Source organism: Homo sapiens, chromosome 1 (genome assembly GCF_000001405.40).
Source record: "Homo sapiens chromosome 1, GRCh38.p14 Primary Assembly".
In the NCBI taxonomy this organism is placed as follows: Eukaryota; Metazoa; Chordata; class Mammalia; order Primates; family Hominidae; genus Homo; species Homo sapiens.
In genome coordinates this window covers 53,438,004-53,456,046 of record NC_000001.11, presented here as the reverse complement: position 1 = coordinate 53,456,046, position 18,043 = coordinate 53,438,004, and the positions used below count along the sequence as shown (strand labels likewise).

Genomic DNA, 18,043 nt, shown 5'->3' with positions numbered 1-18,043 from the left:
CACCAGGCTAACTCTTGTATTTTTTTTTTTAGGTGGGGTTTCACTATGTTGCCCAGGGGCTCAAGTGATCCACTGGCCTCGGCCTCCGTAAGAGCTGAGATTACAGGCATGAGCTACTGCACCTGGCAGTATTTTAAAAGATAGTGACATGATATAAAAGCAGAAAACAGGAAGTCAAAAAAGGATGGGAGCAGTAAATACACAGTGAATGACTTCCTTCCCCACACCTAAACCTTGGGATATTTACATTTAAGAAAGTCTGCCAACTTACAATTGCTGAAGAATTGCAGTTTGACTAATTAACCGCAGTGAGGATGCTTGGTGGTCATATATGACTCCCAGCTTTTTTTCCCAGAGTCCCTAGTTTCCTAACGCCTCTTCTATTTGGTTAATATGATTGCTGCTGGTACTGTTTAATTCATATTCATTTTAAAGAGCCTTGCATTATGCAGTGCACAGGGGTATCATTTATAATCATTAAATATTGCATGCACTAGAATGTTTCCTTACTGGCAGCGCTCAAGAGTAAGGAAGGGTTGTTTTTTTTTTTTTGCCTATAGCATCTTTCCCCCAGCAGCTATAACCCAGATATCTGCTATCTTCCCTTCTTCGAGCTCTCTCCAGTGAGCAATGAAAACTTTATTGAAGATTTCATAGAAGAGGTGGAGTGGAGGATTTACATGATACATCCTATGGCAGATGCTTTAAAATCCTGTCTTAGCATTTCTGTTCTCAGGATCCTCCTCTGCTGTGCCAAACCCACTGGTCTGTCTTCCCACAGACAAGTGCTCTGTCCTCCCACCGGCTAGTACCCAGCCTCTCTAGTTCCACTCTCCTTTCTCTATTTCTGTTAGCCTCCATGATGGCTGTGGCTGTCTTATTTCTCTTTATGTCTAGCACAAAATTGATATTCAGTGAATACTTGTTGAATGTGTGAATGAATTCTCCCTCTCCTGCCAATGTCAAAGTTATCTCCTCCCCAATTGGCTTCAGCAACTTCCCTCAAATATTATACAAGTGCTCAGGCAAACAGAAAGCCCACAGTGATCAAGGCCACTGTTCTGACCAGCAGAATTGGGGGACTGACTTTGTTCTTGAATTCACCCCCTCCCCTAATGGCTTAATAATAGTAATAATAATATTTAGCACTTTCTAACTGTTTATATGTGCCAGGAACTCTCAAGTCCTTTACATGTATTAAGTCATATAATCCTACTAACAAGCCTCCAAGGTAGGTTACTGTTATTATCACCCGCATTTTATACATGAAAAACTGAGACCAAAGAAGTTTAGAACTTCCCAAGATTTCACAGCCATTAAGTGGAAGAGCCATCATTCAAAACCAGGAAATCTAACGTCAGAGTCTATGTTATTAACCATATATTTGCTAACCCAAATATTTCTTCTAAACCAAACAGTGATCTCCCCAAGAAAGCTTCGGTGATGAATAGAAATGTTTGTATCATTATATATTATAGTTGGAGCAAAGGGGGGTAAAGGGGGTACCAACCTGGAGAAACTTCCTAGGATGCCCTGCTTAGCTGCTTTTCTCTATCCATGGTCAATATTTATTGAGTGCCAACCATGTGCTAAGCATAAGGCATGCAGAAGTTAAGTAAAAAGACAGGATCCTTGCCTTTAGGCCTACATTCTAGCTGGCAATCCAATTACTTGGTGAACAAGTAATTCCAGAGTAATAAAAGTCAGGTTTTCAGAACCCATATGGAATCCTAAACTGGCTTGAGAAATCAAAAAGACTTCCCTGAGGGGCTGATTTCTAAGCTGATGCCTAAAGGGTTAGTAGCCAGCCACAAAAGCAGAAGTGTGTCCCACATGCTCAGTGGCCTACAGTGTGGCTGTAGTGCAGCAAGGTTGAGACACTGGCGAGAAATGAGGTGGAAAAGTAAGTTGCAGCCAGGCTGTGGAAGGAGTCCTTGAGGGAAATTGACCAAGGAGAAGAGGAAATCACACGGCAGAGCCAGGCAAAACAGTAAGTAATAAGCACTCGTGCAGGTATTGCAAGATTCAAATAGAGTTGAGTGGGGTTTTCCTTGAGGTGGTTGTTCCAGGTGGGGCACACATTTGAGGCTAGCCATGGCCCAAACTAGCACTGGGCCAGACAGGGTTGCTCCTTCTAACCCTGGGACACCATTAACAGATTCATCTGACCTCTCCTAGGAATCTTAGAGAAGCGAGGCACAAAATAGTAATGGATGGAAGACAAAGGAGTGAGAGAAAAGAAGAGCATGAGGCAGTCAAACAGACCAAAGCTGTTGGAGAGGCTGTGAAGATTAAGACTGGAACAAGCAATTCTGTGGAGCAAAGGAAAAGTACACCATCCTGGCGGAGAGGGCATGCTCCAAGTGCTACTCTTCAACCCAATAGTACTGACCTTTGTTCTGTCTTGTTTTTACTTGCTAATTGGATGAACAAACATTTTTTGACACCCACAGAAACTTTCTTCCCTCCCTTCCTTCCTTCTTCTTCTTTTTTTTTTTTTTTTTTTTTTTTTTTTGCAGCAGGGTCTCACTCTATTACCTAGGCTGGAGTGCAGTGGCGCGAGCATAGCTCACTACACCCTCAAACTCCCAGCTCAAGTAATCCTCCCGCCTTGGCCTCCCAAAGTGCTGGGATTATAGGCATGAGCCACTGTGCTCAGCCCACAGAAACTTTCATAATATGTATATGTAGCTGATTACATGTATTTTTGATAGTACTATCAAATTTCTATAAATTTCAATTTTTTTTTTCTGAAAATACGAGAGGCACACGTCCCTATAAACTACATTGCTAATAGGGAATAATATAACCTTTAATATCTCTGTCCTGTGGTAAAATGCAAACTCAATTTAACACAAGAGGCATGAATTGAATGCCTACCATATACAAGGTACTGTTCTCTGGTAAAAGCAGTCAAAAAGAGCAAAGGAAAAAGAAAATTAAATTGAATCTTCTTTTTTCTGTGTATGTTCCTTGTCTAATTTCTTAGAAAACAGTAACTATTTATCGAAAAACAAAAAACCAGCATCTTTTTCCTGAGTTATGCTTCTATGAGAAAGGCAAACAGATATCAATAATTTATCTTTCGAGTAACCTTTCTAAACATTTTATGTCAGAGAGTCAGTACAAGTTCGGTCCATTTTGTAACTGAAAACAGATGGCAAGTAATACTATAAAGACAGGCAAGCTGGGTGAGAACATGATCATTAGTTATTAGCTGTGTTAACCTTAGCTAAATTATTTAACTTCTTTGAGCCTCAGTTGCAATAGTAATATTTGTAAAACGTGTTGCAAATCCCAAAGTGTGGCACAATATCCCATTTAGTGATATTGTTATTTAATGAATGCTTACAACTTTGCAGACATGGCCTCATTTAAACCACAGAACAACATGTATAAGGTAGGTAATTTTATTGTGTCCATTTGACAAATAACATTGAAGCTTAAAGTTCAGAAATATTCTTACCCAAGGTACATAGGAAGTGACAGAAACACATGTGAATAGCCTCCAAGTCTGAACTCCTAAGTACTATGCCATATTGCCACCATTTAGTTATTTCCTTTACTTTAACTACAAGGTGAGATGCCTGACTCTTGTAGGATTGATGAGATAATACATTTGAATAGCCCAGCACAGGTCTGGTATCTGGCACATGGTTAGCATGCATTACATAGTATCAAGGAGGAAGAAGGGACAAAGGGAAGGGGGGTGAGAGATAAGTAGTATTTCTGACTGACTCCAAGCCACCTCCAATCACAGGATTTGATTTAGCTACACAGTGGCATCAGGCTCTCCAAGCATACATTAAACACCAGCTGTCCAATACTATACCTATTATTTACTGTGGCTATTGAGCACTTAAAATGTGCCCAGTTAAATTTAAGATGTTCTGAAAGTATAAAATACACACCAGATTTTAATGACATAGTATGAAGAAAAGAATGCAAAATATCTCAATAATTTTATATATATTATATATTGAAATAATATTTTGGATATATTGAAGTAATATTTTGGATATATTGAATTAAATAATATTTTGATGTGGCTTTTTACTCTTTTAATGTTGCTACCAGAAAATCTTAAATTATATGTATGATCTTTCATTATATTTCTATTGGGCAGCAGTGCACAAGAGATTTGTGTGCTCAGTCCTTCTACTTCTGAAGACCAAGTTTTCCACAGTAGCTTATGTTCAAGGTGTTACATCATCTTCAGGTAGAGTGTACCACGTTCATACACCCCTCCATCATGGTGGTTAGATAACCTTCACTCGCATGAATCTCTGCTCTTTACCATTTAGGGCCTTTTTAATGGGATCAAAACACTGTCTCATGCTTCAGAACTGGAAATATTACTATTAGAAAATGCCAGCTAGAAGAGTCTAATAAAACTCCAGTTTGCATTTTGAATCTTCAAACATATGATGTTATTTTTATGGGAATATTTTCCTATTTCTCTTGTTAGGTATAAATTACTAGTAAAATACTGTGTAAACTAGAAAAGAAAGAAGGGTGTCATTATTTACTAAGGTTACAGCATGCCTGCAATATAGAATCCATCAGTTTTGCCTAAAAGCTCAACCAGAGGGCACAGGTTGATTATGTACATGTCGCTTGATAAATGTAGTCCCGTGGACATTTTATATTGTAAGAATTCTGGAAAATTAGTTTTTAAAGTATTTGATTAATACCCTTCTTCTCCCTTAGAACCTACCCCAGGTAAACAATTACTACCACTAGGAGTAGTAATTTTGCTTTGCACAAATAATTCCTTAAACAAAAAAAGGCATGAAGATTTGTTATGAACAGTTTTTTTCCTAAGCATATAGAGATTATTACCTCCTACACATTTTCTTTAAACATAGTTAAACTTACTTGGCCTAATCAGTTTGGGGATTGTTGCTTTTTCCTCTTTAACTTGCCAGATAAATCAGAAATATTTATTTTAAGAGACAGTTTAAGGAACTCTATCATTCCCAATCTGTCAGAGTTTTACAAATAAATCTCAGTTGAATGTCTATCATTGTTTCCAATCTGGTCAAGAAAAAAGAAAAAAAAGTATACAATTCATCAGAATAATTAATTATCTGGGGTTGAATAATTCTAAGAATAAACATTTGGCCCCCTCGCACTTCATAAACGCCCTGGAGTGAGAAGGATTATACATTAATGTACAAGATGTAAAAGGGTCCAGATACACCCTTAACATTATTGCAAGCATGTGGGACACATTTAGGTAAGTTAAAACCAAGTGTGGGTTTTGAGTTTGGCCAACTTTTTTTTTTTTTTTTTTTAATTATACTTTAAGTTTTAGGGTACATGTGCACATTGTGCAGGTTAGTTACATATGTATACATGTGCCATGCTGGTGCGCTGCACCCACTAACTCGTCATCTAGCATTAGGTATATCTCCCAATGCTATCCCTCCCCCCTCCCCCCACCCCACCACAGTCCCCAGAGTGTGATATTCCCCTTCCTGTGTCCGAGTTTGGCCATCTTTCATCAGTGGCTTACTAAAGCTTTATTCCTTTGGTGTGAGGATAGTGGGGTGCAGAGAAGTGGGTAGGAAGAATGGAATAGTGGCAACAGTGCCCCCTGCTGCCCGATGGCCACCCCCCTTCATGGAAACTTGAGGTTTCAGGGATTTTTAGAGACATGGTACCCCAGAGAATAATGAAACTCCTCTTAAGGAAGTCAGGAAGGAACTAACATATATAAAGGTTTTACAGCATTGCAAGCATTGTTGTATCATTTAATAATATGAAGCTTATTACAAATTTAGGAAAGAATATGATGTATTTCATAGATGAAGAAACTGAGGTTCAAGAATATAAGACAAACTTTACAAATTTCATAGCTAGAAGTGGAATAGTCCAGACTGTGGATCAGGTATGCCTGGTGCCAAAGCCTGTGCTTATTATAGTGCAGCACACTGCCCATAGGTGGAAGCCAAGGACATAGCCCAGACTCCTCAGGTATGGTGACCAAGTGTCCTGATTTGCCTGACACTGAAAGAGTTTTAGGGACACGTGATTTTTAGTGGTAAAACCTCCCTGTTTTGTCCAGGAAAAGCTGGGACAAGTTGGCCACTATAGCTGGAATTCAACGGAATAAAGCACCAGGCTGGAAGGGTTTATTTGGAAGAGGAGGAAGGCTGCCTGGTTCTCTGTCCTGTCCTGCTCTGAGACAGCCACAGGTGAACAATCTCTGTCCTGCTTTCATGCGCATCCGTGTGAAGAGACCAACAAACAGGCTTTGTGTGAGCAATAAAAGCTTTTAATCACCTGGGTGCAGGCGGGCTGAGTCCGAAAAGAGAGTCAGCGAAGGGAGATAAGGGTGGGGCCGTTTTATAGGATTTGGGTAGATAAAGGAAAATTACAGTCAAAGGGGGGTTGTTCTCTGGCGGGCAGAGTGGGGGTCACAAGGTGCTCAGTAGGGGAGCTTTTGAGCCAGGATGAGCCAGGAGAAGGAATTTCACAAGACAGTGTCATCAGTTAAGGCAGGAACAGGCCATTTTCACTTCTTTTGTGGTGGAATGTCATCAGTTAAGGCAGGAACCGGCCATCTGGATGTGTACGTGCAGGTCACAGGGGATATGATGGCTTAGCTTGGGCTCAGAGACCTGACACCTGCTTATTTTATGCCTTGACACATCTTGGGGCATTGTCAAAGAAGTTCACACCTCTGCCAGTTATGATTTCTTCAATTCCTGTCCCAAATCATCAGAGTCAGTAGGAATTTAGTTAACCGAATCATCCACTTGAGTGGAGGAGAAAGAGCAGAGACTGGCATCACAGAAACATGAGTTCTGAGAGGATTGAATGGGGCCAGAAAATGGGGGTGAGTAACAGAACTGACATTTGTGGAATGCTTATTAACGTACAGGGTACTGAGCCACATACTTTATGCACAACTTCTCACACATTCGTGCACATTGTCTCTCCTATTGCAACCCTAAAAGATAAACAGTAGTTATAATGAACTCAAATTACAGATTTACAAAAGAAAAATAAGCTCAGAAAGAGGATACATAACTTGTCTAAGTTCACACAGCTAGAAAAAAAATGGAACTCAAAATCTGTTTCAGCCCAAAGTTGTGACACTTTCTCTACTATATCATAGTGTCTGACTGTGATATTGTGATATAATAAGAAATATATATCTGGTCTTTGTCCTGGTTCCTGGCTCAGAGTCCCTAAAACCCTTGTAATTTCCTGAGTGATAGGGGTGATAGGAGCATCATTTGTTATGATATTTGCCCTTTATCCTCAGTTCCTGACAGGAGCTTCTAAGACCCTTGGAATCTCTGGAATGATAACAGTGTCTTTTTATATGCTAATGATGTGATTGGTGGCTGGGGTCCCCTAGATACCTTCAGGATGGGGGCTGCTCACCAGGAAGACCAAGGCATGATTAGACAATTAGAACTTTCAGCTCCCACCCCCACCTCTGGGGAGGGGAGAGGGACTGGAGATGGAGTTAATCACCAATAGCCAATGATTTAACTATGCCCAAGTAATGAAACCTCCATGAAACATTTAAAGTACAGGGCTCTGAGAGCTTCCAGATTAGTGAACACATTGACATGCTGGGAGGCTAGCAGGCTCTGGGAGGGTATGGAAGCTCCGCGCCCCTTTTCCCCTTAGTCTGTCCTATGCCTCTCTTCCATTTGGCTGTTCCTGAATTGTAGCTTTTATAATAAACCAGTTCATGTAAGTAAAGTGTTTTCCTGAGTTTTGTGAGCTATTCTAGCAAATTATTGAACATGAGGAGATTGTGGGAATCTCCAATGTATTGCCAGTAGGTCAGAAATAGGGGAGGCTCTGGACTTGCAATTGGTGTCTGAAGTGGGGACAGTCTTGTGGGACTAAGCCCTTAACCTGTGGGGTTTGACATTAATTCCAAGTAGTTAGTGTCCAAATTGGATTGAATTGTTGGATACCCAGTTGGTGTCCAGAGAGTTGGAGAACTGACTGGTGGTGTGGAAAAAATCCACACTTGGTGTCAGAAGTGAGTAGAAACATTCACTGTACTGACAAGTCATAGTGTTTAATAAATATTCAATTCCCCTTCCCATGAAGTTCCTAAGGACTTAAATTTATTAATTTCACTGTCCTCCATATACTTTAAAAATTATAAAAAGATTAAGGATGAGCTTGCTGTTAAGAAAAAAATGTATATAAAAAGAAAAACGTTAGACAAATTAAATTTAACAGAGTTGAATTGGGTAAAGAACAATTTGCAAATCAGGCAGCTCCAGAACCAGAATAGGTTGAGAGACTCCACCACTGGTGCATGGTCGAAGAAGATTTATGGACAGAAAAAGGAAAGCGATGTACAGAAAAGAGGTACAGAAATAGCCAGATTGGTTACAGTTCAGTGTTGCGTTATTTGAACATAGTTTGAACAGTTGGCTGACTTTGATTGGCTGAATCTCAGTGATTGGCACAAGGGTAGATTGCAGTCTGTTTGCACATCCAGTTAGGTTACAGTTCACTATGTACGGAGAAACTTTTAGGCCAAACTTAAAATATGTAAGGAGGCAGTTTTAGGCTAAATCTAACAAAATAAAATAACATATCAAAAACACTATTCTCCAAACTTGTAGGGTGAATATAGAGATTCACTATGGGGGGATGAAGTCATCTGATTACGTTCACTCTGAGAAAATAATTCAGGCAACTACTCTGGTTCATTTTTACAGGTAAGAGAGTTGGCCACTATCCCCTGATTACTGGATAGAACACCGTTCCATGAAATGATACATAAACAAAATAAGCAGTGTTCTTACAATCCTGTCAGAAGTATTTCCTATACAGTTAAAAAAAAATGGCAATTTACCAGTCCAGATTACATACAAATGAAAGTCTGGCAAACACAAGGGAGGTGAATTAAGCAAAGAAAGTTTTCTGGCAGACATACTTTGTAACTGATTCTGTAAGATGACATGGATTGGTAGAGGAAAGTGGAGGGGCACACACAAAAACATGGACAACAGGAATAAGGACATCTTGCATGAATATATTATATATTTGTGTAACTGTAGTAGAGAAAGTATCAATGGGCCATGGGCCTAAGTATTTATGGCTGAAAATCAAATACCCTACATGCAAATTAAAATTTCATGAGAAGGAAGTGAGTCAAAATGATGTAGAGATCAAAGAATATCTCCCAGATACCTGAACAAATAGGGGTTCTGTTGCTAAAGAGTAGACAACAGTGTCTGCCACTCTGTATTCATGAAATGGGAAGAACATCTATCTTGTATGCTTGTTGTAGGATTACAGATGTTTATAGCAACTGGCAAAGAGTAGATACCAAATAAGTGTTTGCTATTGTTTTATCTAAGTGCTCTATGATTATGTTTTAGAGCTTTTGGAAATTCTGTTTGGGGACAATGTGGGATATTAGCTCTGCTTTGCTATACATTTAAAATGTGCTGGCACATAATAGGCACTCAATAAAAATCTGTTGAATGGATGAATAAAGGAATACGTTTTCACTCTTTTCTCTCTAACAAATAAAAGAAACACAAGTCTTTATTCGGTCTTCTGGAAAGGAAAGGTCTACTTAACTCATCAATTGAAGTTTGCAGAAAGAACACAGTAAAAGTATAATGATGATTTCAAGACAGAAATGTTGCCCAACATCATGTAACAACCAAGGAAATAATAATGGTAGTTGTGTGCTCTGTAATGGTGAAATATTCTCGTAGGCTACTTTCAGTTGTTACTGACTTTATGGCTGTGTTTTAGTAAAGTTATTTGCTATGGCTTGGATATTTGACCTCTCCAAACCTCATGTTGAAATTTGATACCAAATGTTGGAGGTGGGGCCTAATGAGAGGCATTTGAGTTACGGGGTGAGTGGCTCCTGAATGAGGGGGTGCAGTCCTCACAGTAGCAAGTGAGTTCCATGAGTTCCTGAGAAAGCCTGTTGTTTAAAAGAGCCCAGCACCTCCCTCCCCTCTTTTTTGCCTTCCTCCCCATCTTCTCCCCATCTCCTGTTGCCTTCCACCATGAATGGAAGCAGCTTGAGGCCCTCACTAGAAGCAGATGTTGGTGCCATGCTTCCTGTACAGCCTGCAGAACCACAAGCCAAATAAACCTCTTTTTTTTTTATAAATTACCTAGGTATTCCTTTATAACAACACTAATGAACTGAGACATTACTGAACTAAGAATTGTCTAAGAAAAGTTTTGTCCTGACAATTTCTTGATTGTTTTCTTTAACTTGTACAAATTCATTGTTATAAACAATAGTTTAAGGCCAAGTGTAGTGGCTCATTCCTATAATCCCAGCACTTTGGGAGGCCAAGGAGGGCAGGTCAGTTGAGTACAGGAGTTTGAGACCAGCCTGGGCAATACAGTGAGACCCTTGTCTCTATAAACAATTTTTTAAAATTAGCTGGGCATGGTGGCATGTGCATGTAGTCCCAGCTGCTTGGGAGGCTGCGGTGGGAGGATTGCTCAAGCCTCGGGAGGTTGAGGCTGCATTGAGCCATGATCACGTCACTGCATGCCAGCCTGGGTGACACAGTAGACCCTGTCTCAAAAATATATATATATATTTTAGTGGTACAGTGTAGGGTCCAGCCCTACAGGGCCTGTGGGTTTTTCTCTTTGTGTGCAGAGATGAGAGATTGTAGAAATAAAGACACAAGACAAAGAGATAGAAGAAAAGACAGCTGGGCCCAGGGGACCACTACCACCAAGGCACGGAGACTGGTAGTGGCCCTGAATGCCTGGCCATGCTGTTATTTATTGTATACAAGGCAAGAGGGCAGGGTAAGGAGTGTGAGTCGTCTCCAATGATAGGTAAGGTCATGCAAGTCACGTGTCCACCGGACAGGGGGCCCTTCCCTATTTGGTAGCCGAGGCGGAGAGAGAGAGAGGATAGCTTACATCATTATTTCTTCTATGTATTTCTTGGAGAGATCAAAGACTTTAATACTTTCACTATTTCTGCTACTGCTACCTAGAAGGTGGAGCCAAGTGTACAGGGTGGAACATGAAGGTGGACCAGGAGCATGACCACTGAAGCACAGGATCACCGGGAGACGTTTAGGCCTCCAGATGCCTGCAGGCGGGCCTGACTGATGTCAGGCCTTCCACAAGAGGTGGTGGAGCAGAGTCTTCTCTAACTCCCCCGGGGAAAGGGAGACTCCCTTCCCCGGTCTGCTAAGTAACGGGTGCCTTCCCAGGCACTGGCGCTACCACTAGACCAAGGTCTGCTAAGTAATGGGCGCCTTCCCAGGCACTGGTGTTACCACTAGACCAAGGAGCCCTCTAGTGGCCCTGTCCGGGTGTAACAGAGGGCTCACACTCTTGTCTTCTGGTCACCTCACCGTGTCCCTTCAGCTCCTATCTCTGTATGGCCTGTTTTTTTCTAGGTTATAATTGTAGAACAAAGATTATTATAATATTGGAATAAATAGTAATGCTACAAACTAATGATTAATAATATTCATATATAACCACATCTATAATCTATTTCTAGTAAAACTATTCTTATTATATATATTTTCTTTATTACACTGGAACAGCTTGTGCCTTCGGTCTCTTGCCTCGGCACCTGGGTGGCTAGCCGCCCACAGTACAGAACAGGTATCCGATAGAAATGAGATCAATTTGATATAACCTCTGGTTTCATAAAGTGAACAGTGGTATATGTTAGGAAAACATCCAAGTTGTACCTTTAGGAAATGGAGGCCTAAGGGTTCAGTAAATGTAGCTGCTGTTATTATTACTCTAGCCCTCTTTACTCCTTATTTTCTCTAAACTCCATTTCTGAAGAGTCCAGCATTTCCCGAAATATGCTCCATGAAAGACTACGTCTATGAATAGTTATGTCTATGAATAGCAATGTGAATAGGTATGATATAAAAAAGGGGTTCCGGGCTGGGCGCACTGGCTCATGACTATAATCCCAGCACTTTGGGAGGCTGAGGTACCAGGATTGCCTGAGCTCAGGAGTTCCCAACCAGCCTGGGCAACACGGTGAAACCCCATCTATACTAAAATACAGAAAATTACCCAGGCATGGTGGCGTGTGCCTGTAGTCCCAGCTACTCGGAAGGCTGAGGCAGGAGAATTGCTTGAACCCGGGAGGCAGAGGTTGCAGTGAGCCGAGATTGCACCACTGCACTCTGGCCTGAGTGACAGAGTGAGACTCCGTCTCAAAAAAAAAAAAAAAAAAAAAAAGGTGGGGGTGGGGGTAGTGCTTCTGGCCGGGCGCGGTGGCTCACACCTGTAATTCCAGCACTTTGGGAGGCCAAGGCAGGTGGATCACCTGAGGTCAGGAGTTCGAGACCAGCCTGGCCAACATGGTGAAACCCTGTCTCTACTAAAAATACAAAAATTAGCCAGGCACGGTGGCACACACCTGTAGTCCCAGCTACTCGGGAGGCTGAGGCAGGAGAATTGCTTGAACCTGGGAGGTGGAGGTCACAGTGAGCTGAGATGAAACCACTGCACTCCAGCCTGGGCGACAGAGTGATACTCCATCTCAAAAAATAAAAAATAAATAAAATAAAAATGAAAAAGGGGTTCTGAAATCCAGGAAAATTAGGAAACTCTAAATTAACAAAGCCAGAGTTTTTTTTTAACTAAACAACTTCTCACTCTTCAATGTGTTTATGTGTCCTGTGAATCTCCAAGAGCAAGCTCTGACACAGCGTTTCTCAACCTTTTGTTCATTATAGGCCATCCCTCCCCCAGGGATTTAGACATTTTTACTAATCATCCTTTCCCTCCTTCCCACTCTCCCCCAAAATTAAATACTAAGGAATAAGATTTTACTGGGTGGGCCACAAACCATTGTACTAAGATTCTTTGCCCCCTAAGAACCATTTCACCCCCTTGGGGATGATATCACCTCAGTTGAGAAGCATGCCTTAGTGTGAAATGCTTCTTGTATTAATCTGCTCTCACATTGCTATAAAGAAATACCTGAGGCTGGGCACAGTGGTTCACACCTGTAATCCCAGTGCTTTGGGAGGCCAAGGCAGGTGGATCACTTGAGGTCAGGAGTTTGAGACCAGCCTGGCCAACATGGTGAAACCCCGTTTCTACTAAAAATACAAAAATTAGCTGAGTGTCGTGGCGGGCACCTGTAATCCAAGCTACTCAGGAGGCTGAGGCAGGAGAATCGCTTGAACCCGGGAGGCGGAGATTGCAGCGAGCCAAGATCACTCCATTGCACTCCAGCCTGGGCAACATGAGATAAGTGAGACTCTGTCAAAAAAAAAAAAAAAAAAAAAAAAAAAAAAAAGAAAAGAAATACCTGAGGCTAGGTAATTTATAAAGAAAAGAAGTTTAATTGGCTCACAGCTCCACAGGCTGTACAGGAAGCATAGCAGCATCTGCTTCTGCAGAGGCCTCAGGAAACTTACAATTATGGTGAAAGGCAAAGGGGATGCAGGAATATCTTGTGTGGCCAGAGCAGGAGGAAGAAAAGAGAGTGGGGAAGTGCTACACACTTAAACAATTAGATCTCACGATAACTCACTCACTATCATGAGACCAGCACCGAGGGGATGGTGCTAACTCATTCATGAGAACTCCACCCCCATGATTCAGTCACCTCCCACCAGGCCTCCAACACTGGGATTACAACACAACATGAGATTTGGTGGGGACACAGATCCAAAGCATATTACTTCTCAAACTCATTTGACTGCAGACCTTTTTCAAGTGGACCAGTATTCCCAGGAACATACTGTGGGAAGCCCTAATTTAGTTAGTATGGGATATTTTAACACTTCATTGTTCTGTCTGACTCAAGGATGGAGACTTCTCTTTAATACTTAAATTCCTGGTAGAAGACTATTACAAGGAGAGGAGTTTTAAAAAAGGATCGTTGATTGAGAAAACCTGTATCTGCCTCTGTTCTCCCCTCTAGCCATCATCCCCAGTTTGGGGTGAGAATTTTACACCAGTCAACTTTTAAAAAAAATTATGGTATAATATACATAAAGTGTATAATGTACTCTAATCTTAAGTGTACAGCTTGATAAATTTTCACAGGTGAATACTGAAGGAAACCAGAATTTGTCACATCAAAATATGCCTCTTTGACTTAATTTTTTTTTTTTTTTTTAGTTAAAGGCAATTAAGAAGCAGATGTAGGGAGTTCTCTGCCTTCTTTCTGTCTGACTAAAAGCAGGACAGAGAATTACAAAGACAAAAGGTCTTTCTATCCACCCACCCTGCTTTCCCGCCTGAAGACGGGATATAAATTCTTCTTTACAACCTTTATCAGCTTAGAGACAGTGCCAGAGGAATCTGAGCAGACTTTACTCCATTAGTTTCCCCATAAATTTACCTTCCTACATTTTCTCACCTCAAGGAGCCTGGGACTGCTTTTCTTTTGTCTTGTTACGTTTCTAAAATGTATTATATCATGCTATGTTAGACATGCTATATAAGCCAGATTCTTAAGCTACTGCTTAGAGTTACTTTTCTCCCACATTATGTGCACTGCATGTGTTAATAAACTTGCTTGTTTTTCTCTTGTTAATCTGTCTTTTGTTGCAGGAGTCTGTCCCAACTGTGAACTTACGAGGGTTGAGGGAATATTATTTTTTATTCTCTTTAATACACCCAGTTCAGGATATAAGCACTAAATTATTGATCAGAAAATCTGATCAATATGTATCATTACAGCTTGGCCCTGGTACCTGCTGCCATGTGCCTGGGAGGGATGCTGAGCTGTGGGCTGACACACATGTCCATCATGCCCCTGGACCTGGTCAAATGCCACTTGCGGGTGGATCAGAAAACCTTAAAAAAAATTCTTGACTTCCCATACTGTGGTGTGTAGTTTTCAAACTTTAGTGAAGCTTAGTGAAGAATCCACCTAGGAGTGTATTAAAATCACTTATTTCTACGCACAGAGATTCTCATTCAGACGGTCTAGAGTGTGAGGTGAGATTTTTAATAAAGCACTCCAGGTGATTCTGATGCAGGTGGTCTGCGGATCACACTTGTGAGAATGATAGGCCTGCCCTACAGGATAAAAGTCAAAGTCCTGAACAAGACATTAAGGCCTTCCCTAATTTGACCCAATTTTATTTTTCCAGACTCAACCCTTGCTGATTTCCATCATACTGAATTAAGCCCCTCTCCTCAGTAGGAAATGCACTTAGGTTTGTTTCCTTTCACCTGAAATTGCCTTTCTAGTCTTTTTTACGTGGCAAACTCCTACTTATCCTTCAAGACCCAGCTACACTTGTCACTTCCTCAGGGAAATCTTCTGAACCTCATCAGGCAAAATTAGTTGCTCCTTCATTGTTCATCTAGAACTTTATTCAAATTCTGTTATAGGCTGGGCACGGTGGCTCATGCCTGTAATCCCAACACTTTGGGAGGCCGAGGCAGGCGGATCGCTTGAGGTCAGGAGTTCGAGACCAGCCTGACCAACATGGTGAAACCCCCATCTCTACTAAAAGTACAGGAGGAAGAGGTTGCAGTGAGCTGAGATCACACCACTGCACTCCAGCCTGGGTGACAGAGTGAGATTCTGTCTCAAAAAACAAATTCTGTTATAATACTTATCAAAATACTGACTTTTTTCTTTTAAAAAAAATCTTATTTAGAAGTTAGCAGGAGTATGTCTAGTTCTTTGCTGAACCCCTAGCCCTGCACAGGGCCTAGCACAAAGTGGGTAAATGAATGGATGATGTATGCTACTGATTTATACCTGGAATCACTTAGTTCTTATTTTTCAGGCCACTGAAACTGTAAGCTTCCCAAAAGAAGAGGGCTTCTGACTCACTTTCGTATTCTCCAAAATCAGTAGTCAATGAAAAGAAAATACCTGATAAGTGAAAGTAATCAGCACCCCCCCCTAAATTCAGTGAGTGTCCCCATACTTCCTAGGCTCCCACTACAACCGTTTGTTGGGAGACAGGAGTGGTGTGTGAGCTGGGGGAAACTCACCTACCTACCAGGTGAGAAGGTTATGTAAGGCCGGAAGCCACTGGCTCTCTCTGCCCATTCGCACCGTGGAACGTCACTGCCATGGAGATGACCATTCCCCTAAACCGGCATAGTTGGGTGAGGACTCCAGAAAGGCCTCTCAGGAAGGCAACAGTGCATGGCGACTCTTTACCCCTTCGCCCGCCTCCTGATCTACGTACTCGCCTATTCCTGCGTTTACTCGTGTTTGTACATGTTGGTTTACTTTCTTCGCATTTTTGTAGAGGATTAGGCAGCCAAGCTGGACCAAAGTCACCAGGGTGGTGAAGGCCCGGCCCACCGCCGAAGGTGAGCTCTGGGACCACTGACCACTGACTGGCCTAGGCTCAGCGGGGCGGGGTTCCTGCAGCTACCAGGAGCCCATTGACCTGAAGGGGCGAAGGGGCGAAGGGGCGAAGGGGCGAAGACGCGAGAAGGGGCGAGAAGGGGCGAAGGGGCGCCGGGGCGAAGGGGCGGGGCGTGCTGGAGGGGAAGGGGCGGGGTGACACCGCCTACTTAAACCGTCCTTCACACCGCGGACTGCACAGGCACAGGCTGAAGCGCTGTGGTCCCGCAGGGATCCCCTCGCCTGGGCCGTTGTGTGGGCGGACTCGCGAGGGAGGTTCACGACGCTCTGCCCCGCCCCGCGGCCCCTGAGTGAGTGCGCCTGGAGGGGCGGAGGGCAGGGTGGGCCCGCACCCAGCGTGGCCATGGATGATCCCCTCGCGGCCGCCGAGCGCTGCAGGCGAGAAGCGTGGGCCAAGGCGTCAGCAGACCCTGGGCGGCGGCTGTGGAGGAGGCCAGCGTGGAGTACGGCTCGGCCCGGTACCTGCTGCTGTGCGGCCTGGGCGGGATGCTGAGCTGCGGCTGACACACACGGCCATCGTGTCCCTGCACCTGGTCAAGTGCCGCATGCAGGTGGACCCCGGCTGGTACAAGGGCGTCCTCAGCGGCTTCGGCGTGACGGTGCACAGCGACGGGCTGTGCGGCCTGGCTCGCGGCTGCGCTCAGACCTTCTTCGGCTACTCCCTGCAGGGCTTCTTCAAGTTCGGCCTTTACGAGGTCTTCAAGATCCGCTCCGCGGAGCTCCTGGGCCCAGAGAAAGCCTACGGGTGGAGAGCCGGCCTGTACCTTTTCGCCTGGGCCAGCGCCGAGTTCTTCCCCGATGTCTCGCTGGAGCCCATGGAGGCGGTCAAGGTCCGCGTGCAGACGCGACCGGGCTACGCCAGCACCCTGCGAGCCACGGCGTCCAGGATGTAGGGCGAGGAGGGCCTGTGGGCCTTCTACAAGGGCGTGGCGCCGCTGTGGCTGAGGCAGATCCCCTACACCATGATGAAGTTCGCCTGCTTCGAGCGCACGGTAGAGGACCTCTACAGGTATGCCGTGCCCAAGCCCCAGAGCCAGTGCACCAAGGCCAAGCAGCTGGGCATCACCTTCGTGGCGTCTTCTGCGCTGTCGTGTCCCATCCCGCCGACTCCGTGGTGTCTGTGCTGAACAAGGAGAAGGGCATCGCGGCCCTGGGCGTCCTCCGAAGACTGGGGTTCACGGGCGTGTGGAAGGGCGTCGTTGCGCGCATCGGCCTCTTTGCGCACATCCCCATGATCGGCACCCTCACGGCCCTGCAGTGGTTTATCTATGACCTGGTCAAGGTCTATTTCAAGCTGCCTCGCCCTCCCGTGGCTCAAGCGCCCGAACCCCTGAAGAAGAAAAAGTAGGTGTGAAGTTCTGAACCGCTCTAGCCACAGTGGGTCCACATTTCCGTCAAGTGGGGAATCGCGTGCAAACAATGCTAGTGTGTAAGATGTTAACATTTTGGGCAGAGGTTACTTAATATGCAGTCTGAGTTCTCTTTAAATGACTGCTTCTTTTTGGCAACTCAAGAGGATTGCAAACATTTCGTTTGGGGGTTTGAACCATTATCTTTGGGGAGTTGGCGTGGTTGCTTTAACTCAATAGCTTTTCAGCAATTAAAAGGAAAAAATACTTAACAGGAAGTAATGTTAGGTAGTTTAGGGTCTCTAGGTGTTATCTCCTTTGATTCGCCCTTTCTGTAGAGATTATCCAAGCATAACTACTGAAT

The 18,043-nt window shown here is 43.5% G+C and overlaps 1 long non-coding RNA gene and 1 pseudogene across 2 annotated transcripts, besides 1 other annotated feature; one reads left to right on the top strand and one right to left on the bottom strand.

The window, feature by feature from the left end:
• Positions 1–10,654: 10,654 nt before the first annotated feature.
• On the bottom strand, positions 10,655–16,411 carry LOC105378733 (uncharacterized). The gene is made up of 3 exons (XR_947371.2): positions 16,146–16,411; positions 15,954–16,044; positions 10,655–10,866 (listed from the first exon to the last, which is right to left on the bottom strand). It is a non-coding gene; the product is annotated as an uncharacterized LOC105378733 (long non-coding RNA).
• Positions 11,157–11,451: an enhancer, noted in NCBI's record as "tiled region #5491; K562 Activating DNase matched - State 12:CtcfO". NCBI's record gives its function as "activates a minimal TATA promoter and a strong SV40 promoter by Sharpr-MPRA in K562 cells {active_cell/tissue: K562}" and the evidence as "EXISTENCE:reporter gene assay evidence [ECO:0000049][PMID:27701403]".
• Positions 16,027–17,677, top strand: SLC25A3P1 (solute carrier family 25 member 3 pseudogene 1; annotated as a pseudogene). Its single transcript, NR_002314.3, has 2 exons — positions 16,027–16,272; positions 16,999–17,677. The product of NR_002314.3 is annotated as a solute carrier family 25 member 3 pseudogene 1 (transcript).
• Positions 17,678–18,043: the final 366 nt, after the last annotated feature.